Here is a 19217-nt window from a genome sequence, read left to right on the forward strand (position 1 = left end):
CATCTCAAACACAATTAGAACACAGGTGCAACTAATTCTCCACAAATGCCTTTGAGATGTACATTGCCTATCAATTGCAACTTTATTTTCAGGACAGTTATGATTAAGTCAATTTAAACCTATAGTTATCCTCCCAGATTGCCTTTATAACATAAAATGATATTTCAGATTTTGCCGTCGAGTTTTAGATCAAGTATACTCCTGAAACCCCATATGTTTTGGTCCAGCCCTGGTAGAGATTAGATCTTTAAAAAATTAATATTAACATAATGTTGAAATCAAAACACCAATGCCAGATGGATTTTAGCACTACCTGATAGGAGTAACTTAGTATATGTGTATATGTGTGTGTGTATGTGTGTGTGTGTATATATATATATATATATATATGTATATATTTATCTTTTTAGACAGAGTCTCAATTTGTCCAGGCTGGAGTGCAATGGCGCCATCTTGGCTCACTGCAACCTCCGTCTCCCGGGTTCAAGTGATTCTCCTGTCTCAGCCACCCTAGTAGCTGGGATTATAGGCTCACATCACCATGCCCAGGTAATTTCTTTTGTATTTTTAGTAGAGACAGGGTTTCACCATGCTGGCCAGGCTGGTCTCTAACTCCTGATCTCAAATGATCTGCCCACCTTGGTATCCCAAAGTGCTGGGATTACTGGCGTGAGCCACTGCACCTGGCCCAAGTAACTTAGTATTTTTGCTTAATTAGAAATATCACAGACATATCCCCCTTCTCCTCACCAATCTAGTTGACCAATGTCAACTAGACAGATAATCACAGATATCATATGTATGCAGTTTTCACCCAAGGAAATCCCCAACCTCCAAACAAAAGAAGTTCCTCTAGTCTGCAGCAAGAGTGGAATGTGTCAGACACTGGTTCCTCAAAGCTACCTCTTCCTGCAGTGGAGATTTCCACTGCAAAGTTCTCAGAGTTTCATATTGCTATTGGAATGAACCATTCTCTCTACACAAAAATTACGGCAGAAACTATGAGTTCCTGTTCCACCCCACTCCTACCTTTTTAATCCTCCCCTCTTCCAAAGTAAGAAAATTTTTATCTGGGCATATGCCTGCCCAGGCATAAGACTAACATTTTCCACCTTCGTTGGAGTCACATGTGGCTGTATGACTGGATTCTGGCCAGTGGAAAGTGAGTAGAAATTAAGAGTATGACTTCTGCATCCTTCCCTTCAAGAGAAAGGCCTATGTCATCTTCTCCCCACTGTTTACCAGCCCTCCCCTCAGGCTGGAGGGCAGATGTAGTAGTGAGCTGCCTCTACCATGCAGACAATGATAACTCCTGAGTGATGGCAGAGCAACCGGGGGTAAGAGCCTGGGTCTCCAATACCACTGAACCTCCATACTAACTTAGGACCATCTACCTCCACTGTTCCTAGAGACATTGCTCTTACCTTATTGATCACTGTACTAAGCACTTTCTTGTGTTATAGTGGCCTGGCCTCCATCCTAATACCTAATTCACCCTGCTTGGTGAAAAGGAAATGCAGAAAAAGAGAAACTTACCAGCCGTTCTGCCATAGCTAGGAGAGTGTTCACCGCATCCAGGCGATGACTAATATCCTCCCAGTATGAAGTCAGGGTAACAACTGGCTTGGTGTGGGCCCAAGGCAAGTAATAATAGTAGTTGCCTGGTATAAAACATTGGGGGTCAATGAACACTGAACACTTAAAATAGACAGCATGTTTATTAAAGAGATGTGCAGACTGAGCTGCTGATTAATCCACAGGCTTGGGGAATAGCTTGAGGTGGTCTGGTTCTTTAATTTGACTCAATTAAGCAACTGAAGACTAGGAAGCTCTTTTTCATTCAGGCTGTTCTGAAATTTTCTCTGAGACACCCTAGTAAACTGAGCACAGCAATCTCAGGATCGTTTAGTGATTCAGGGCCATGCATCTGAACATCAAAGATGGTTTCTTAACGTGGTAGTAGAAAATACAGATGACATAGGAAGCTAGACTGAACATGTTAGTCCCTAAAAACTGTTATTCTAAATAAATGTTTTTGTTGGAACTGGGGCAAAAGAAAAGAATTTTCTGTTCTTGGAAAGCTTTAGCTGGCTACATAGGGTTTGGTACTAGAGCCTTACTGTGATTAAGAATTATTAGCTGATGTTTCCTAGGATGTCTTACATTTTAAAACTGCTTGTACAAAAATTAAGTTAAAACTCTGGCAATACTGTTGGGAAATTTGATCAGTATTCCTCTCTCCCTTCTCTGTACTCTCAAACCATTTGTTGACAGTTTTATTGGAAGTTCTCATACTTTGCTTTCTATTATGATTTATTTTATACACTAGAATGTAAGCTCCTTAAAATCAGGGACTGTTTCTCACCCATCTTTGTTCAAATACAGCTATTTAATCCTCATGTCAACTCCAGAGAAGACGAAGAAACTGAGGGTTAGAATTCAGTGACACGGTTAAGGTCACAAGCTGGTGAGTAACAGAGTGAAGACCAGAAGCATGATTTCCCAGTAGCTGATCCAGAGTCCCATTCATTTTCCACTACTCAGCCTAAGAAAGATTTGGGGCTTCGTAGGGGTAGGAGCTGCTTTGCGGAGCTCAGAACTTAGCACAGTGGCTACCTTGGGGTCTTACATGGCAAAACCATTGTTAAAGCTGGGTGGGGAGAGGGTAGCATTGGGGTTCAGCCTCTGGCAATGGGACCTGCAACTTCTTGGGTCTGGCCAGTCTTTAAGGTGCCTGAACCCCAACCACACTCTCTTCCTCATTCAACCTTTTCCTTTCCACTAACCATAGGCTGCGTAGAACAGTGCCAGAGGGAAGACACAGTGCTTGCTTCCGGTCCCGTGGTGCACCCATTGTAAACGTGTGGAGAGAACTGTTAGTGCCAATCTTACCATCAAATACAGCACGGCTGTACTGAGTTGTTGATGCCAAAGGCTTACAGGTGGTGTCAAACTTGTTGCCATAGTTCCCAATGCTGACTTCAAACTGAATGGCCTCACCAACATCTTGCAACATGGTGGCTGAATGAAACACGGCAGACAGGCTGTACTTCCGCCTTCGCTGGTATTTCTATAAAGTATGAGCAGACATAAGGTTCAGTGAAAGGCCATTTGTTCTTATTTACATGTGGATTTCTAGGAGACGCAATTCTACACCTAATAATTAGTGCTGAATTAAATGACAGGGGAGAATGTTCTTGGACCCAGCTGTTCCTCTTGCACTCATACAAGTGAGCAAAGATAGAAGCACTAGGATGTTCCTGGCAGCATTGATTGAAATGGAGGGGAAGAAATGAAAACAGTACACAAGTCTTTCAGTAGACCACTTGTTAAACAAGTTATGTTATATCCATAAAATAGAATGAAGGTTCATAAAAAGACTTAATTAGGTCCATATGTGCAACCATGAAAAAAGAGTATATTTTTTGGGCTGGGTACGGTGGCTCATGCCTGTAATCCCATCACTTTGGGAGCCCGAGGTGGTTGGATCACTTGAGGTCAGGAGTTCAAGACCAGCCTGGCCAACATGGTGAAACCCTGTCTCTACTAAAAATACAAAAATTAGCTGGGCGTGGTGGTGCACACCTGTAATCTCAGCTACTCGGGAGGCTGAGGCACGAGAATCTCTTGAACTCAGGAGGTAGAGGTTGCAGTGAGCCGATATCGTGCCACTGCATCCAGCCTGGGTGACAGAGCAAGACTCCATCTCAAAAAAAGAGAGTATATTTTAAGTAAATCTATTAAATAGATATTTTAATATTCATAAAGGCATATTCATAAAGAAGGTCTGGAGGAATATAACTCAAATTGTTAACAGTAGTTATGTTGAAGAAGGTAGAGAGATTATGGCAAACTTTACTTTCTAACTTATACATTTTTAATGATTTTGAATGAAGCATTAATTTTTTTTTCTCTATTTTCTTTTTTTTTGAGACAGGGTCTCATGCTGTCACCTAGGTTGGAGTGCAATGGCATGATCACGGCTTACTACAGCTTCGACTTCTTGGGCACAAGTGACCCTCTGGCCTCCCAACTAGCTGCGACTACAGGTGCGTGCCACTGCACCCAGCTAAACTATTGATTTTCTAATCAGAAATAACAATAAAGATTTTCATGTCAGATGTAAATAAAAATAAGGAAACTGGGTAAATTTATTTTAAATTGAAATGGGAAATTAAACCTTCCTTTTTCTTTTTAAATTACTGGTTTACTAAGAGAGTTGAAGATAGGGTCAACGATAACCACATTGAGTGCCTATCAGCCTACCAGAAATGACCATGAGCCCTTCAAGCCTTCCTTCATGGGCACATAAAATCTCTTGAATCCATATCCTGCCCCAAATCCTTGCTCAGCTGGCATATCTCCTTCTTTATGAGCCATATCTCCACAGATCTTCAGGCACTGTGCCTTCTTTTACCAAAGAGCCATGCAATGGTTTAGGTTGCTGTGTTTCATTATGTCCCGTGCATTCTGCCATGCAATACGATCCGCATCCTGTGTCTATTCTAGAACTCTGGTGGTACCCAGTCTCTGCGTTCAATTATTTTGGGTATATACCCAGAAGTGGAATTTTTAATTCTTTTTTTTTAGACTGTGTCTCGCTCTGTCACCCTGGCTGGAGTACAGTGGCTTGATCTCGGCTCATTGCAACCTCTGCCTCCTGGATTCAAGTGATTCTCCTGCCTCAGCCTCCCAAGTAGCTGGGATTACAGGCGTGTGTCACCACACCTGGCTAATTTTTGTATTTTTAGTAGACACGGGGTTTTACCATAGTTGGCCAGGCTGGTCTCTAACTCCTGACCTCAAGTGACCTGCCTGCCTCGGCCTCCCAAAGTGCTGGGATTACAGGCATGAGCCACCGTGCCTGGCTGGAATTTTTAAATTTTTAAGGACTGTTTTAAGAACTTCTGACAGTGACTGAAGCTTGTGGTCTTGAAGAACCCCTGGACATCCTTCTATTACAGAGTCTCCATTTTGGTTAAAGGAGTTTTTGACATGGTATAATAGAACCCTCCAATAGGGTTTTGTCAAATCCCCTCTAGGCCTCAATCTTTCTAAAAAGTCTCTCTAAACACTGGTTTGTAACCTGAGCTGCACATTGAATGACCTGAGGAAGCTTTGACGGGAGCATTGTGAGTCTAAAAGCCTCCCTAGCTTAGTCCACTGTCACCTTGATAAGGGAGGATTGGGGGTGCACGCTACTTGTCAAGAGCTCTGCTTAACTACCCACAGCGAAGCCCCCTGGAATACCCGTGGTCCAGAATGATGTGGAAATTCTGGGTTTGGGTTTGAATTGTGTCAAAATGAAAAAGTAGGAAGTTATTTGGATTAGTCATAACTACATACAGCATAACTTCTTTGTAAACCAACTAGGATGATAGGAGAAAAGGGAAAGAGCTAAAAATAGGAAACATAATTTGTGGCCTGAGTCAGGACCCAGGAGAAAATGACCGGTATTTAAGCCAGAGCCATCTGTTAAGCCAGGGACTGCACAGGATGGAGAAGGATCATGGGGAGGCTTGGAGGTGGGGTGGGAACTACGGGGATGATACTCCCAGCTGGGCCGGCTCTACCCCGTAGGCCTCCACATAGCCAGGATTCCATTAGAACCCCATGGATGCTCTCACGCAGAGCTTGCAAAATGACCCACAGAATCCCTGATAGGACCCTCACCCTGGAGAGTCTGAGCCCTAAAAGCAATAGTTTGGGCTTCTGGCCATCAGCACAATTCCCAACAGAGAAGGGACTCACTATGAGCAAGCCGCTGAAGATGGAGCCGCTGGATCACTGTGCAAGCCCAGATTCCAGGAGGGGCAACGCTACCATCTGCTCACCTGTGCCAGAGCCAGGCTACCCTCGATGATTCAGGCAGCTGAGAATTCTGCCGCTCCCTCAGACCTTTCCCACTTCCTCTCTGCCCTCAGGGCACAAAGAGGTAGAGAGAGGAAGGAACAATAAACACCATTCAGAGAAGTACAGAGCCTGGGACAAGATCTGCCTACAACAAGAGAAAATGAAATAATATAAATTGGGCTGGGCGTGGTGGTTTACGCCTTTAATCCCAGCACTTTGGGAGGCCGAGGCTGGCGGCGGATTACCTGAGGTCAGGAGTTTGAGACCAGCCTGGCCAACATGGTGAAACTCTATCTCTACTAAAAATACAAAAAATTAGCTGGGCATGGTGAGAGGTGCCTGTAATCCCAGCTACTCAGGAGGCTGAGGCAAGAGAATCACTTGAACCCAGGAGGTGGAGGTTGCAGTGAGCCAAGGTCACACCATTGCACTCCAGCCTGGGCAACAAGAGTGAAACTCTGTCTCAGAAAAAAAAAAAAAAAAGAAGAATGTAAGTTGTAGTCTATTGGACTTAGGTGGGGTTAGGGCCTTGGGGCTCTCTTTCTGATCATCAGTGACTAGTGCACCTTGTGGATAAGGTGGTATAAAGTAGAGTTTCAGCAGTCGATTTGCAAAAGGAGGTGATTTCTGTCAAGCAAGATACCGATAAGGGCTAAGAGTTGTTGAAAGTGGCTGTGGACACACAAGGCATGGGACATTAAAGGTCAGTGACAAGATCAGGTACCAATGAACACTGCCCAGCATGCCACCTTCGGTATGTCTACTGAAGGGAGCTGATACCTGATGGAGCAGCTGGAAGAACCTGAAGGTGCTGTTTCTAGCAATATTTTTGAGCCCTTAATGTGGGCCAGACCAATGAGAGCTCTCAAGGAGATTGTAGTTGAGTAGGAGAGAGAATGCAAGTGCATAGAATGCTCCCAAAATACATTCGGTCACATCCAAGGAAAATGGGGAAAGAGGAGCAGGGAGAAAGCAGTCCAAGAACAGACTCTTGATCCTGGAGACAAAAAATGGAGTCCTTTAGTGGCAGGGCAGAGGTTCCAGAAGCCAGCGGGTATTAGAATAACACTGGGTTGGCAACACTTGATCTTCTGTCTGCCTGATTCTTACTGTGGAAGTGGCCAGGCTGAATCTGCTGCATCCCTCCTGCACTGCAGCCTCTCTTGACCAGGCCCACCGGGAGCAATAGCTCAGCTCTGCTTTAGAAAGATGGGGAGCACTTGGCAGTTTGGCAAAAAATTTGCCCATTTGTTGCAGCCTCTTTAGCTTTACCAAAAAGTTTTGTTAGCTGCACATAATCCAGAACAGAGGACCTTTGCAAGACAGACAAGGGTCATGAGCATGTTTGTAGGTTGACTGCATTCGTTAAGTCCTTCTGGCAGGTGCACAGATCTGCTCATTTCACTCTCTCCTGGGGCTCCTGTTGCTTGAAGTGTGGCTATGTCTTCAGAATCCTCATTTCTCTCCTATTCTGTAACACTGTTAGGTTTTTAAAATTTTTGCTTCATTTCACTTTTGATTTATATTTATTTAATTAAAAAGATGAGCTATTTTGCTGTCTGTGTTTAATTTAGAGCAAAGAAAATGAATTCTGTTTTACCAGTCAATAAAAAGCTGTTCTTTTATTCTGTTGACATATACTGTGGGCAATATATATTGTTGACTTTTTTTTTTTTTTGCTTTTACACTAAATTAATGAAATAAGCTTCTTTGCCTGTATGTGTTTAACTATTTGCAGTGAAGAAAACTAATTTGGTTTTGCATTCCAGTTAATAAAGCATTTAAAAAATATTTTCTTGGGCCTCTTTCTCCTTCTCCCTGCAACTATGGTTATTTAAAACAAAGAGAAGCAGCATGAACTTAAATTACATTCTGGTGATGGAACCAAATAAAAGAGGTACTATAATGGTTGAGTGTCCATGGTGGCATTTCTGAATAACCCTGAATTCCAACCAATATTTCAAGAGCTAACTCCAATCTGTAACTACTCAAGTCAAGAACCACCATGTGTCTCCACGGAGGCCTCCAAGTGGTTTCTGGCTATTCTTTTGCATGATCCTGGCTGTAACTAGCATGCAAACTGTCCCTTTTCTCACTCTCCCGCCCTCTTTTTTCCTTTTCTTAATTTTTCCTCAAGATCTATTGCAATTCCTGGACTTCAGAGTGGGTAATGTTGTGGAATAGAAAGACTATGACCAGGACCTTATTGACTTTTGGCTCCGTGTCTCTTTAGTAAAAAAACAAAACAAATGATCATCTTTGCTGTAGTAATTCATGGGGAAGAACTATTTATTTTCCCCATGTGAAGTTACACGGATGCCCCGTGGCTTGCTGCTGTGGTGATGCTAGGTTCCTTCCTGAGGCTGGGGGGTGGAGAGAGGGCAGTCTCAGGAGCCTGCTCCTTTCCTCTCAAAGGAGGAGACAGGAATGAAATTGGTGCAGCTCAAGCACTGGACCACAGATGTTCCCAACATGTAAAGGCTGAGGAATCCAGAACAGACTGCTTTGGATGCTAACCTCCTGATACGGCTGCCTTCTGGGAGTCAATGAGCAAGGCCACATTGCTCTGGGGAAGAAGGGATAGTTTCTGTTAAAGGGTGTGGCTATTCTCCCTGTCAATCATCCTGCAAAGGGGGCAGATGTAACAGGCAGACATCAGACGACTAGAGGGAGAAGGCCCTGGCTCGCTGGAGAACTCACGGCAGTTGGGCCTGGACTCAGATGAAAACGTGTTCTGGGTACCACGGGAGTTTGGGGGAGAGCATGGAGAACCCAGTCCTGCCACAAGGAGACAGGCTGCGAGTAGACAGGAAGGCTGACTGTCAGGGACCCAGAACACCAGCCTGACCCCATGAGCTTTGAGAATAGCCACATTTCGCAACCACGTTGTCACCCTTTTTACTGTATTTTCGTATTCTTATCCCAAAAACTGAAAGTGAAAGCTTTTTAAAAGTTGCTGTTTGGTTTCTGCTGTAAAGTGGTGAAATCAGGGCAGGGCCTGTCCTGTGTGCTTGGAACAGAGGGCAACAGCAGCCTGGGGCAGCTGGGGGGCTGGCGGTGATTTGCAACCCAGCAAGGAGGGCCGCGGGCAGAGGGGCATCCATGAGCTGGCTGTGCTGGCAAATGATTCAGATTTGTGGAACACACAGGCATCGACCTGGATTCTCAGAAATGGTTGGGGAAGTCAACTGGGAAGATTTCCTGTCTTCAAGGAGGAAGCGGGGTTCACAGCCATTGCAGTGTGGGCCCTCAGCACACCTGCCCTCCTGTGCTGGGAAGCCTGAGGCCCACCAGCCACCTCTGAAAATGGAAATGAGTAGAGGTGGCACCTACAGCTCTTGGTGCCAGCAAGAAGTGGCTGTTATGGCCACTTCCCCATGACCCCCAACGCCAGTTAGCAAACAGGTCATTCAGTTTGTGGGTATCAGTGTTCTTGCCAGTTTTCAATAGGGTATTAACATCTCAAAGGATGAAGCGATCCTCATAGGGCTGTTGTAGAAACATCCAGATGAGGGCCTCATTGTGAGTTGGGTTGCCTTCCGACTCCCCCAGCTACCCCTTCAGTCCCTGGAGGTCTCCTTTTCTATACCATGCATTACTCACACTTTAACATTTACCTCAACAACCAGCAGGTCATCATTTGAAATGGGCTCAAGCTTTTTATCTGGTGGTGTCTTCTCAAGAAAAGTGGCTAATTCAACCAAGATCCTGCCTCTGTAGGCAACTCCTTCCCCCTGAAAGGCAATAATCCAGGATTATTCCTCTAGGCAGCAACAGCAAAAAGAATTCTGTGTCTCTAGTCAGGCTAATACAACTGCAAAAAGTTTCTCCTTCCCATGGCCCTAACCTTCGAAATGAATCAGTCGGCAACTCTCCCAGCTGGATTCAGGTCTCTGGTGTTTGAAAGAGAGCCATTGGCTTTAGGACAGATCTCAAAGAGTACCTTGGGATGCTAGGGCTGAAAAAGATCTTAGCTGTGACCAAGGTCAGAGGTCTTCAAACCATGCTCTAGCTCCAGAAGGAGTTTGTGGAGGCTGGGAGGTGGGGGGTGGGGGGTGGATGGGGCTCTAAGTCTCCCTTCACCGTACTTCAGCAGGGAAGCTCTGCATTTATCTGGGTTAACTTGGCTGCTTTTCTCCTCTTCTCAGAATAGGGAGGCTGCCATGCTGGCAACCAGGGCAAGTCTCAGAATAGCCAGGAAGTAAAGGAGGAAGATGTAGGAGGAAGAAGTTCTGGGTGCAGCTGAGCCTGAGGATGAAGAGTGGATACTTCTCCCACCATACCCAGCAGTGCTGGCAATAGAACCTTCTGGAAAGGACGGAAGGGTCCCCACCTCCACAGCCAGTCTTTTACCCTTCCCCTCTGAGGGCTTTTTCTCTCTAGCTTGGTCTCTTTCTTGAGCCTTGGGAGATAACCTAAAAGACATTTGGCTTCTGTTGTGGTAAAAAGAGCATCTCCCATCTCTGGGCTTCCATGTCTTCATCTATGAAATGAAAGGATTGATCAGATCAAGGGTAATAAAGGGTTTCAGGGTGCATGCCACTGCCTAGTGCTTGGTAAATTCCTGGAATATGATGTTGAAAAGAATTCCAAGGCAGCCCAGGGGCTTATTAGGAAAGAGAGCCAGCATTGATTATTGATGTCTACCATAAGCATAGAAGTTGGGGGAAATGGCCATTGGCCATTGGCCATCCCCCAGTGAGATGATCTCCACAGTCTTTTCCTATCTTTGCATTCTAAGTCTTAGGGAGTATGAAACTTCTATCCTGCAATACTTGATCAGACATTATAAGAAGAAATAATCACCTTAACCAATGCTGATTAATAACCACCTTAATTGAGAAACCAACCTTTCCAGTATTCAGCTCATCATAGGGGTCTGGGAATCCCGTGTACTCTCTGGGGCTTCCATAAAGATTCAGGTAACAAGGTCCAAACGTTGGAACAAAGCCTACCTCTGTTTCTCCTGTGTTTACTGAGAGAGAAACATCATCATGAGGTGTTAGGCTTTTAACATTCAATCTATTGAAATAAATATTAGTTATTAGTTAGTTAGGTGAGACTATTTTCCTCCATTTTGGGAGTTAGTTGTATTAATGCAAGTTGTAAGCACCATGAGGTTTGCCATATTTCTCTTTTCTTATTGCTACATAAAATATTAAATAAAAACATTTGGGGGTAGCGCAGATAAACTTATTTTTATAAAAAGATAATGCTATTTAAATAAAGAGCAATTAGACTTTGAAGTTGACCTTCACATTTTTGCAAGTTTATAATGGGCATTGTATTAAACATGCCATTGCCAATTGGGGCAAAAGATTATATTGTTTTGGGAAGTCACTTAAATGACATATTTTATGAACTTTATTTGTTCTTCTAAAGTGTCATTTAATCTTCAGTAGTTAGTATAACTCTAGCAGATGCTGTTAAAAATATAAGACATTTTTAAATTTTATATGTAATAATAAACTGCCTGCCTGTGGTTGTAAGACCATGTGATATTCATAAATGACATGAAGATTCCCATTCATTGCTTTCTATCTCTGGTGGTCATCTGATAAGCTCCTTATTTTTGCTACCTGGTCTTAGCAAGACAACTCCTCAATGAAGGGCACTAAGGGCAATATAATTAAATAGCTGAAAATGGGGAAACTGCGGGTGAGGGTGGGGAAATATAAGAGTTGCCTTCAATAGCCTGAATGGCCCCCCATGGGAGAGGGATGGACTTGTCTCCAGAAGCAGAGTAAGGACCACTGCTGGGAGCTACAGGGAGATCAGCTTTGGTTCACTCTGTATAAGGCAGAACTTTCTGTGAATTCGAAATGACAAACAATGGGACAGGCTGCATTAGGGACAATTAGAAGAAATGTTGAGGCAAAGGCTTCAGCCTATCTTTCAGCATGTTCTCAGGATAATTCCTGCTATCGATGAGGTTGACCAGATCATATCTATGGCCCTTTCCAACTCTATGCTTAAAACTAAGGGAGAAAGATAAATGTGGAGCAGCGTCATCAGAATGATGCCCATTAATAAATAATTTACCTAACCCTATAGACATATACTGCACAGTCATTTTCATTACGTGAAGCTCTCTGCATGTTTAAATGGGCGTGTACACATTTGTGGGGAGACAGAAATCATGGACACAGGCAGAAAAGAGCTGAATAGCAATCTCAGTGAAGACAGCAAGAAAAAAAGAAACATTTAAATGAAAATTTAGAAAATTAAGATGTACAAAACTAGTGCACGCAGCCTAAGGTTGAGACTTGGTAACAGCCTAGGATGCCACATGTCACACTTGTTTGGAAATCTCTTATGAAACACAAAGAGGGACCAACAGTTTCTCCAACAGAGATTTCTCTGAATCATGTTATCATCTTCAAGACAGATAAACAGGAGGAATGACTATTATACATGAACATATAAATTGGCTTGGCTTTATCCATTGTGGCATATGGAACATTGCAAAGACGATTAATTGATCACTAATAAGTAGGGTTTGGACTTCTTTCTGTGTGCTAGAATATTTTGTTTTAGTGGAGGGATGTTGGGTGCGAATAGAGAATTAAAGCAGAGACTCACAGAGAGAAAAGGAAGTTATTTTTAGAAGCTGAATCACACACAAAAAAGATTTAAAAAAAAAAAAGAGGAAGAAGTTGAATCACAGAATATTCCAGTAAGAATGGATGTTAAAGCTATGGCACCATAGTCATGTCACATTATGGATGGGCAAGCCAAAGCCCACAGAAGTGATGCAACTTGTCAAAAGTCCCACAAATTGGCAGATTTAACCCCAGATCTTGAGTTTCAAAGCTCAGAAAAGGACACCCTCCACTACCCCATCCATTCCTTTGGTCTAACCTCACTTCTCCTCCACCTGGTTCCCTTGAATGACTGTGCTGTCATGTGTATTTGCTTTTTGTTAAAGATCCCCAGGGATTGAAACACAAATTGTCAAGAATGATCCACTGCATATCAGCTTAATGCCAGGGGCTTAATTATTTTTGTCCAACAAATCTCTTTTCTGGTATGTTACCCCTTTGACTTGTTTCATTGTGCATTAACAGAAGGAACTCTCCTTCTATGTGCTCACATCTTAGTATAGTCTCCTGGGATAACCCATTCTCTAGGCCAGGCATGGTGGCTCACGCCTGTAATCCCAGTACTTTGGGAGGCTGAGGCAGACGGATCACCTGAGGTTCAGGAGTTCTAGACCAGCCTGGCCAACATGGCGAAACCCCATCTCTACTAAAAACACAAAAAAAATTAGCCAGGCATGGTGGCAGGTGCCTGTAATTCCAGCTACTAGGGAGGCTGGGCCAGGAGAATCACTTGAATCCAAGAGGTGTAGGTTGCAGCGAACCAAGATCATGCCATTGCACTCCAGCCTGGTTGACTGGAGCAAAACTCCATCTCAGAAAAAAAAAAGAAAGAAACAAAAAAAGAAAACCCATTCTCTCATAAGCTAAATCTCTTCCTGCCTCCAAAGTTTCCTAGTCCGTTTAATGCACAGTGGACACATCAAACTTCCCAATGTCCTTGCTGAAAAGCCTATATAAAATAAAATAAAAATCCTTTACCCTGGCCATCAAGGATTTCCTCTGACCTAGCTACAACCCACTTTCCAACAATATTTTCCATGCCTCCTTTACCTTTTTGAATCCCCTTCATGTTTTGGATTCCTACAAATAATTACTGTATGTTTTAGTTTCTAGAATCCTACATAGCTGCACATCTCTGTGACTAAAGTATCACTTTTCAGGGGGAGTGGCAGGATTTAAGTATGTTTTATTTTGATTTCCTAAACACCTACTACTGGTTCTATCATGTGATACTACTACATAAATATTCATTGATTGGTTAAACAAATAAAGGAATAAAGTGCTTGCACATCTGCCAAGTCCACTGCAAATCTAAGGACTACTTAATATTCATATAAAGTCTGATTATAATGAAATAGATTGTTTAAAGCAAATAAGAATTGGGCATTGTGTCAATTACATAATTACATGATATCACCTTATATTTGCACACAGCTTCAGAGTTTGCAAAGCTTTCCCACATGCAATATCTCTTTCCCTTCTTACCACAACCCTGGGAGATTATTATGGCAGGGCGAATCATGCTTATCTGACAGATAATGAACCTCTCTAAACCTCAGAGTCTTCATCTATTAGGGGAACAAAAACATCTGCCCTAGGAGAATTGTGATGGTCAAGTGTGTGACAGTATTGAGCAAACTTGCAAAAAATGACGAGTTCTGTGCAAACCAAAGAATGTGTTATGATCCCTCATTTTGGGGGAGGTGAAGATCTTCAGGGTGCAAAGTAAAAAACGTTCAGTATTTTTCAACCTAGAGATTCACGTTGAAATTGGGGGAAAGTTACTTGATACATTTCAGAACAATTGATTTAGTGGTCCATTTCTCTACTTACTGAACATAAACAATAACAGAAAATGTTATATCTCACAATCAATTATTTGCAATAAAGCCAAATACGATGGTGTGCATTTAGCTGAAAGCATGGGACATGGAGCAAAGCCTGGTTAGCATATTTCTTTTAAGCTTAGCCGTGCAGGACAACCGTATGGCACTTACACAAAAATTATTACTTTAGCAAAACTATGTTGAGACAGCAAAATGTCAAAAAAAAGTTCTAAAGACAGTCGATACATTCTTAATAAGATAATATTAGCTAGGAAGATATAACAGAGAGCAAAATTACGAAGCATAAACCTGTATATGATGCAGCCCCAGTTCCCGAAGATGAGAAATCTATATAGTAAAAATATGACTGGTTAAACAAGAAGAACACGGGCATTATAAAACAGACATTGAAAACGTTAATCAAATCCAGTGCCAGGTATGTGATTTAGCAACACCAGAAAAATCCCAAATTCAGACCCAAGTCACATATGACCCTTTTGTAATGTATACAATTCTCATCGGTTAAATGCAAAATGACCCGGGCAGAACCACCACACATGAATAACTCAATCTCACCCAGCACCAAGGCAGCCAGGAAGCAGAAGAGCTAGCTTCCCGGGGACAGAGGGGGCCTGGCGAAGTTACCAGCATTTCACGTTTTTAATAAAACATTTACTTATCTTACGGCTTAGTTGGGACCAACATCAGAAAATCCAAGTAAATGTGGTCTGAGGCTGTGTAAGCAAAGGCCTGGAGTTTATTGCACATTATTTGATTGAAAGCATGGTTTGTTTCTTTGTCGGGGGGAGGGCGATGTTGACAGCTCGTTGTTATTTTAAGGCCCTGTAACCCCATGGTCTGCAGGGCCTGCAATGAGAGGCCCCAGAGACAGAAGCTAAAACTGCTTGTAGCAATCTCTGTTTTTAGTTCTTCTGGATGTTACCACCATGTCACTAAGCAAAATGCTTATGCCACTATTTCTGAATAATTATCTTTAGATATTATTTAATGACTTCTCATGAATAATGGATTTCAGTCATCTTTACCCTCCCCCCATATAGTTCCAGCATGATTTTTATTTCGTGTAATGGTCACCTTTGTGATTCCATCTATAGTCATATTTAGATTCCTGACTTGAAGAGAAGAGACTATTAGCACCCCTGCCCTACCTCCACTCCCCTTCCTCCTTCTGCTTCTCATCTCTATCTTCCACACTTTTACACTGTAATGGGTGATGACATCTACACTTTGTTCAGAGCTTTGGCTATAGGTTAAATTTTAAAAATCAAAATACAATAAATAGTGCTTACATTCTAGCAACCATATAAATATTCTCTGCAGAGAAAAGGAAAGGTCTGTGATTACATTTCCTTCCTTGCAGCTCCAGTGTTATAATCACTATGCTACTCAGCAGAGAACATTCAGATGGAATCTCTTTCTTACCTTCTACCATTTGCTTAAAATAATGCCACATATAGCTATTTATTTGTTTATTCATTCATTTATTCATTCGAGATGGGGTCTTGCTCTGTTGTCCAGGCTGGAGTGTAATGGTGCAATCTCGGCTCACTGCAACCTCCACCTCCAGGATTCAAGTGATTCTCCTGCCTCAGCCTCCTGAGTAACTGGGATTACAGACACCTGCCACCACACCCGGCTAATTTTTGTATTTTTAGTAGAGATGGAGTTTCACCATGTTGGCCAGCCTGGTCTCAAACTCCTGACCTCAAAGGATCCACCCACCTTGGCCTCCCAAAGTGCTGGGATTACAGGCATGAGCCACTGCGCCCAGCCATGTACATTTATAATTGTACTATATCTCCTTTGGTCACCATCTTGTCTTTTTTTTTTTTTTTTTTTTTTTTTTTTTTGAGACAGAGTCTTGCTCTGTCGCCCAGGCTGGAGTGCAGTGGCGCGATCTCGGCTCACTGCAAGCTCCGCCTCCCTGGCTCACGCCATTCTCCTGCCTCAGCCTCCAGAGTAGCTGGGACTACATGTGCCCACCACCACGCCCGGAGAATTTTTTGTATTTTTAATGGAGACGGGGTTTCACCGTGTTAGCCAGGATGGTCTCGATCTCCTGACCTCGTGATCCACCCACCTCAGCCTCCCAAAGTGCTGGGATTACAGGAGTGAGCCACTGGGCCCGGCCACCACCTCGTCTTCTGATTGCTTTTTTTTTTCACTTCTGGAGAGAGGAAATCTATATGTTCTTCACCATATCTCTAATACCTTCTTTACCTTCTCTCTAATATCTAATACTATATATACATACATATAGTGTGTATATATATATGCATGTATATATAGTATTATATGTATATATATAATAACCAGGTTCTTATTTATGTTATCCATTGCTTGAATTAACAATGTTTTTTCAAAACCTATAAAAAGACCTTAAACAAGATAAGGATGAGAGGAACCTTGAGTTGCCCAAGATAAAATTTTGTCTCAAAGTCTCTCACTTTGTTTCATGTGTTTAATCTCTCAATATATTTAATCTATTGGCAATTACAATAATTTTTGTTTTGGTCACAAAAAATAAGCTCCTGGGCTGGACACGGTGGCTCACGCCTGTAATCCCAGCACTTTGGGAGGCCGAGGAGGGTGGATCACCAGGTCAGGAGATGGAGACCATCCTGGCCAACATGGTAAAACTCTGTCTCTACTACAAATACAAAAATTAGCTGGGCGTGGTGGCATGCGCCTGTAGTCCCAGCTACTCGGGAGGCTGAGGCAGGAGAACTGCTTGAACCTGGGAGGCAGACGTTGCAGCGAGCTGAGATCACGCCACTGCACTCCAGCCTGGGTGACAGAGCGAGACTCTATCTCAAAAAATAAATAAGCTGCTGGTATTACTGTGTTAACATTAATTTTTTCTCTTATCATCTTAACTGCTTTCCTTCATTCCCTGTTACAATTTCTGGCATATGCACAAAACCATAATGCCAGGTATAGGCAAATAGTTCTCAAGAAAATTGTTTGGAAAACAACAGAAAGAACAATGTGTTGGCTATCAATGCTTGTCAGAGTAAAGACCAAATACACATTATCTTAGGGAGTGAGGACTACATGGTTCATTGGCATCTGACCTTACTGTTCCTGCCAAGGGATTCGGTTGAGAAGGGAGTATTATTTTATATTTGGGTGGACTTGGGTCAATGCCACTCTAAAAAATAAGGTGCTAGCTCTCTGTATTGACACAAAAATTTCATAAAACCGCTATTGGGAAAGAAGTTTTGGATGGGAGCAAGAAAGCTGAAAATCTTCAAACTGTAAATTTCATTTTTTTCTAAAAGTTTACAATATATGCATACTAGATTATGATTTTAGCAGTTTACTTATATACTTCAATGATTAATTGTTTTGCAGGCCATCACCAAAACATCATTGAAATGGTTCACTAGGTTCATCACATTTGGCTTCTAAGAAACCAAACCTACTGTGAGGTGGCTACCCCAGTTCATTTTTTTCTCAGACTGGAGAAAAGTTCTGTATCCAGTCTTGTTCTAGATCTGTTGAGTGACTTACCTTCCACTTCCCCACCAGAGGCAGCAATTTTAGAGAGGTGTAGATATGTTGTTCCAACTACATCATTTTTAGTAAGACGGTCCCTGTGTAAAAAATAAAAATAAAAAAATAAAAAATAAAAGGTTCAGAGCTCCATCTAGGAAGATATGTCTTCATTTCAACAATTAAAAAAAAGTTAGAGCTGGAAAATACCCCAGACTTCAGAAATAATCACGTCTAGTGGGCCTCAAACTTTATTGTACTTAGTAATCAACTAGAGACTTCTCACCCTCATCTCCTGCCCACATTTTTAATTCAATAAGCCTAGAGTGGGGACTAAGAATTTGCATTTATAAGTGTATCCCAATTGATTCTGATACAGATGGTCCTCCAGTCACCCTTTGGAAACACTGGTCTAGTAAGGTAATTTATTCTGAAGTTATGAAATTGCAATTGTACAGAGAGGCCAAGAGATGTGCCTATGGCTACACTCAATACCATTGTCATAAAATGAATTAATCAATTATAGGCACATTACATAATTATGATTGTGATGATCATGATGATGGTAACGATATTTGTCATGTTTCCACTGTCAGGGAGCTAAGGGTGCCTGCTGAATGCTACATCCAACTAGAACATTCCAAGAATGGTCTTGTTATGGCCAATCAGTGCTAGAAGGCTGGTCTACTAAAAATTCTATCAGAACATTTCAAGGACTTTTCCTTGCCTTCATTGAGGTAGTTTTACCATTTTCTTTTTAAACAATAACAATGAATTGCTCTCAGAATGTTTTGGTGATTCTTCCCAAGAAATGCTTGACTGTATTTCTGAAGTCTATTCTGGACAGCCTAATGATAATTAAATCCCTGATTTCTTATCTTGGGGCATTTTCAGCACGTTCCCCTTCTTTTGTTTATGAGCAGTTGAACCGAAATAATCGAAGCTTTTTTTGCAGTAACACTATTATTAAATTTTGTTTTAAGAAACGCCCAGTTCCAGGAGCAATTTATCCTCTCCTCTGGAAGGAAAGCAAAATACCAGAAAGAGACAATCCAGAGTAATGTTTCACAATATCCAATGTTTATTTTATGTTGAATTAGACACATACGTATTTTCAACTCACCAGTCATATATTGTTAGTTTTATTTTTTCACACACTGAAGGAAACTAAAAAAATGAGACAGAAAAAAGTAGTTATTTCTCAATGATTTAGTAATTATTAAGTAAGTATTCTTACTTTTTCAGAAAGAAAATAAAGTCAAACCTTGATCTGAAGATTGACGACCTGATTCCACTCTGGGTTTGCATTTTTCTCAATTATGTTTGTACAAACCTGTAAAATCACCAAAGCAAAAGTGTAGGTTTTCAAGTTTCTAATTTCTAAAAGTTTACAATCTATGCATACTAGATTATGACTTTA

At 42.0% G+C, this 19217-nt stretch overlaps 1 protein-coding gene across 10 annotated transcripts in view, besides 2 other annotated features; it reads right to left on the bottom strand.

Moving 5' to 3' along the window:
• MYOF (myoferlin) overlaps positions 1-19217 on the bottom strand; it is a 175906-nt gene that overhangs the window by 71898 nt on the left and 84791 nt on the right. For 8 of the 10 annotated variants that reach the window (XM_047425049.1, NM_013451.4, XM_005269693.5 and 5 more), the window contains 8 exons: positions 19062-19130; positions 18921-18964; positions 17816-17898; positions 14591-14629; positions 10704-10828; positions 9471-9587; positions 2893-3070; positions 1537-1661 (listed from right to left, as the gene is read on the bottom strand). In XM_047425049.1, the coding sequence (XP_047281005.1) occupies positions 1537-1661; positions 2893-3070; positions 9471-9587; positions 10704-10828; positions 14591-14629; positions 17816-17898; positions 18921-18964; positions 19062-19130 (780 nt within the window). The remainder of the gene's footprint in view (positions 1-1536; positions 1662-2892; positions 3071-9470; positions 9588-10703; positions 10829-14590; positions 14630-17815; positions 17899-18920; positions 18965-19061; positions 19131-19217) is intronic. The other 2 variants (NM_133337.3, XM_005269694.6) reach the window with 1 other exon arrangement.
• Positions 5244-5745: an enhancer, noted in NCBI's record as "H3K4me1 hESC enhancer chr10:95143327-95143828 (GRCh37/hg19 assembly coordinates)". NCBI's record gives its function as "activates a minimal SCP1, AML or CMV promoter by ChIP-STARR-seq in primed H9 embryonic stem cells {active_cell/tissue: H9 hESC(primed)}" and the evidence as "EXISTENCE:reporter gene assay evidence [ECO:0000049][PMID:30033119]".
• Positions 5746-6245: an enhancer, noted in NCBI's record as "H3K4me1 hESC enhancer chr10:95143829-95144328 (GRCh37/hg19 assembly coordinates)". NCBI's record gives its function as "activates a minimal SCP1, AML or CMV promoter by ChIP-STARR-seq in primed H9 embryonic stem cells {active_cell/tissue: H9 hESC(primed)}" and the evidence as "EXISTENCE:reporter gene assay evidence [ECO:0000049][PMID:30033119]".

This window comes from Homo sapiens, chromosome 10 (assembly GCF_000001405.40).
Source record: "Homo sapiens chromosome 10, GRCh38.p14 Primary Assembly".
In the NCBI taxonomy this organism is placed as follows: Eukaryota; Metazoa; Chordata; class Mammalia; order Primates; family Hominidae; genus Homo; species Homo sapiens.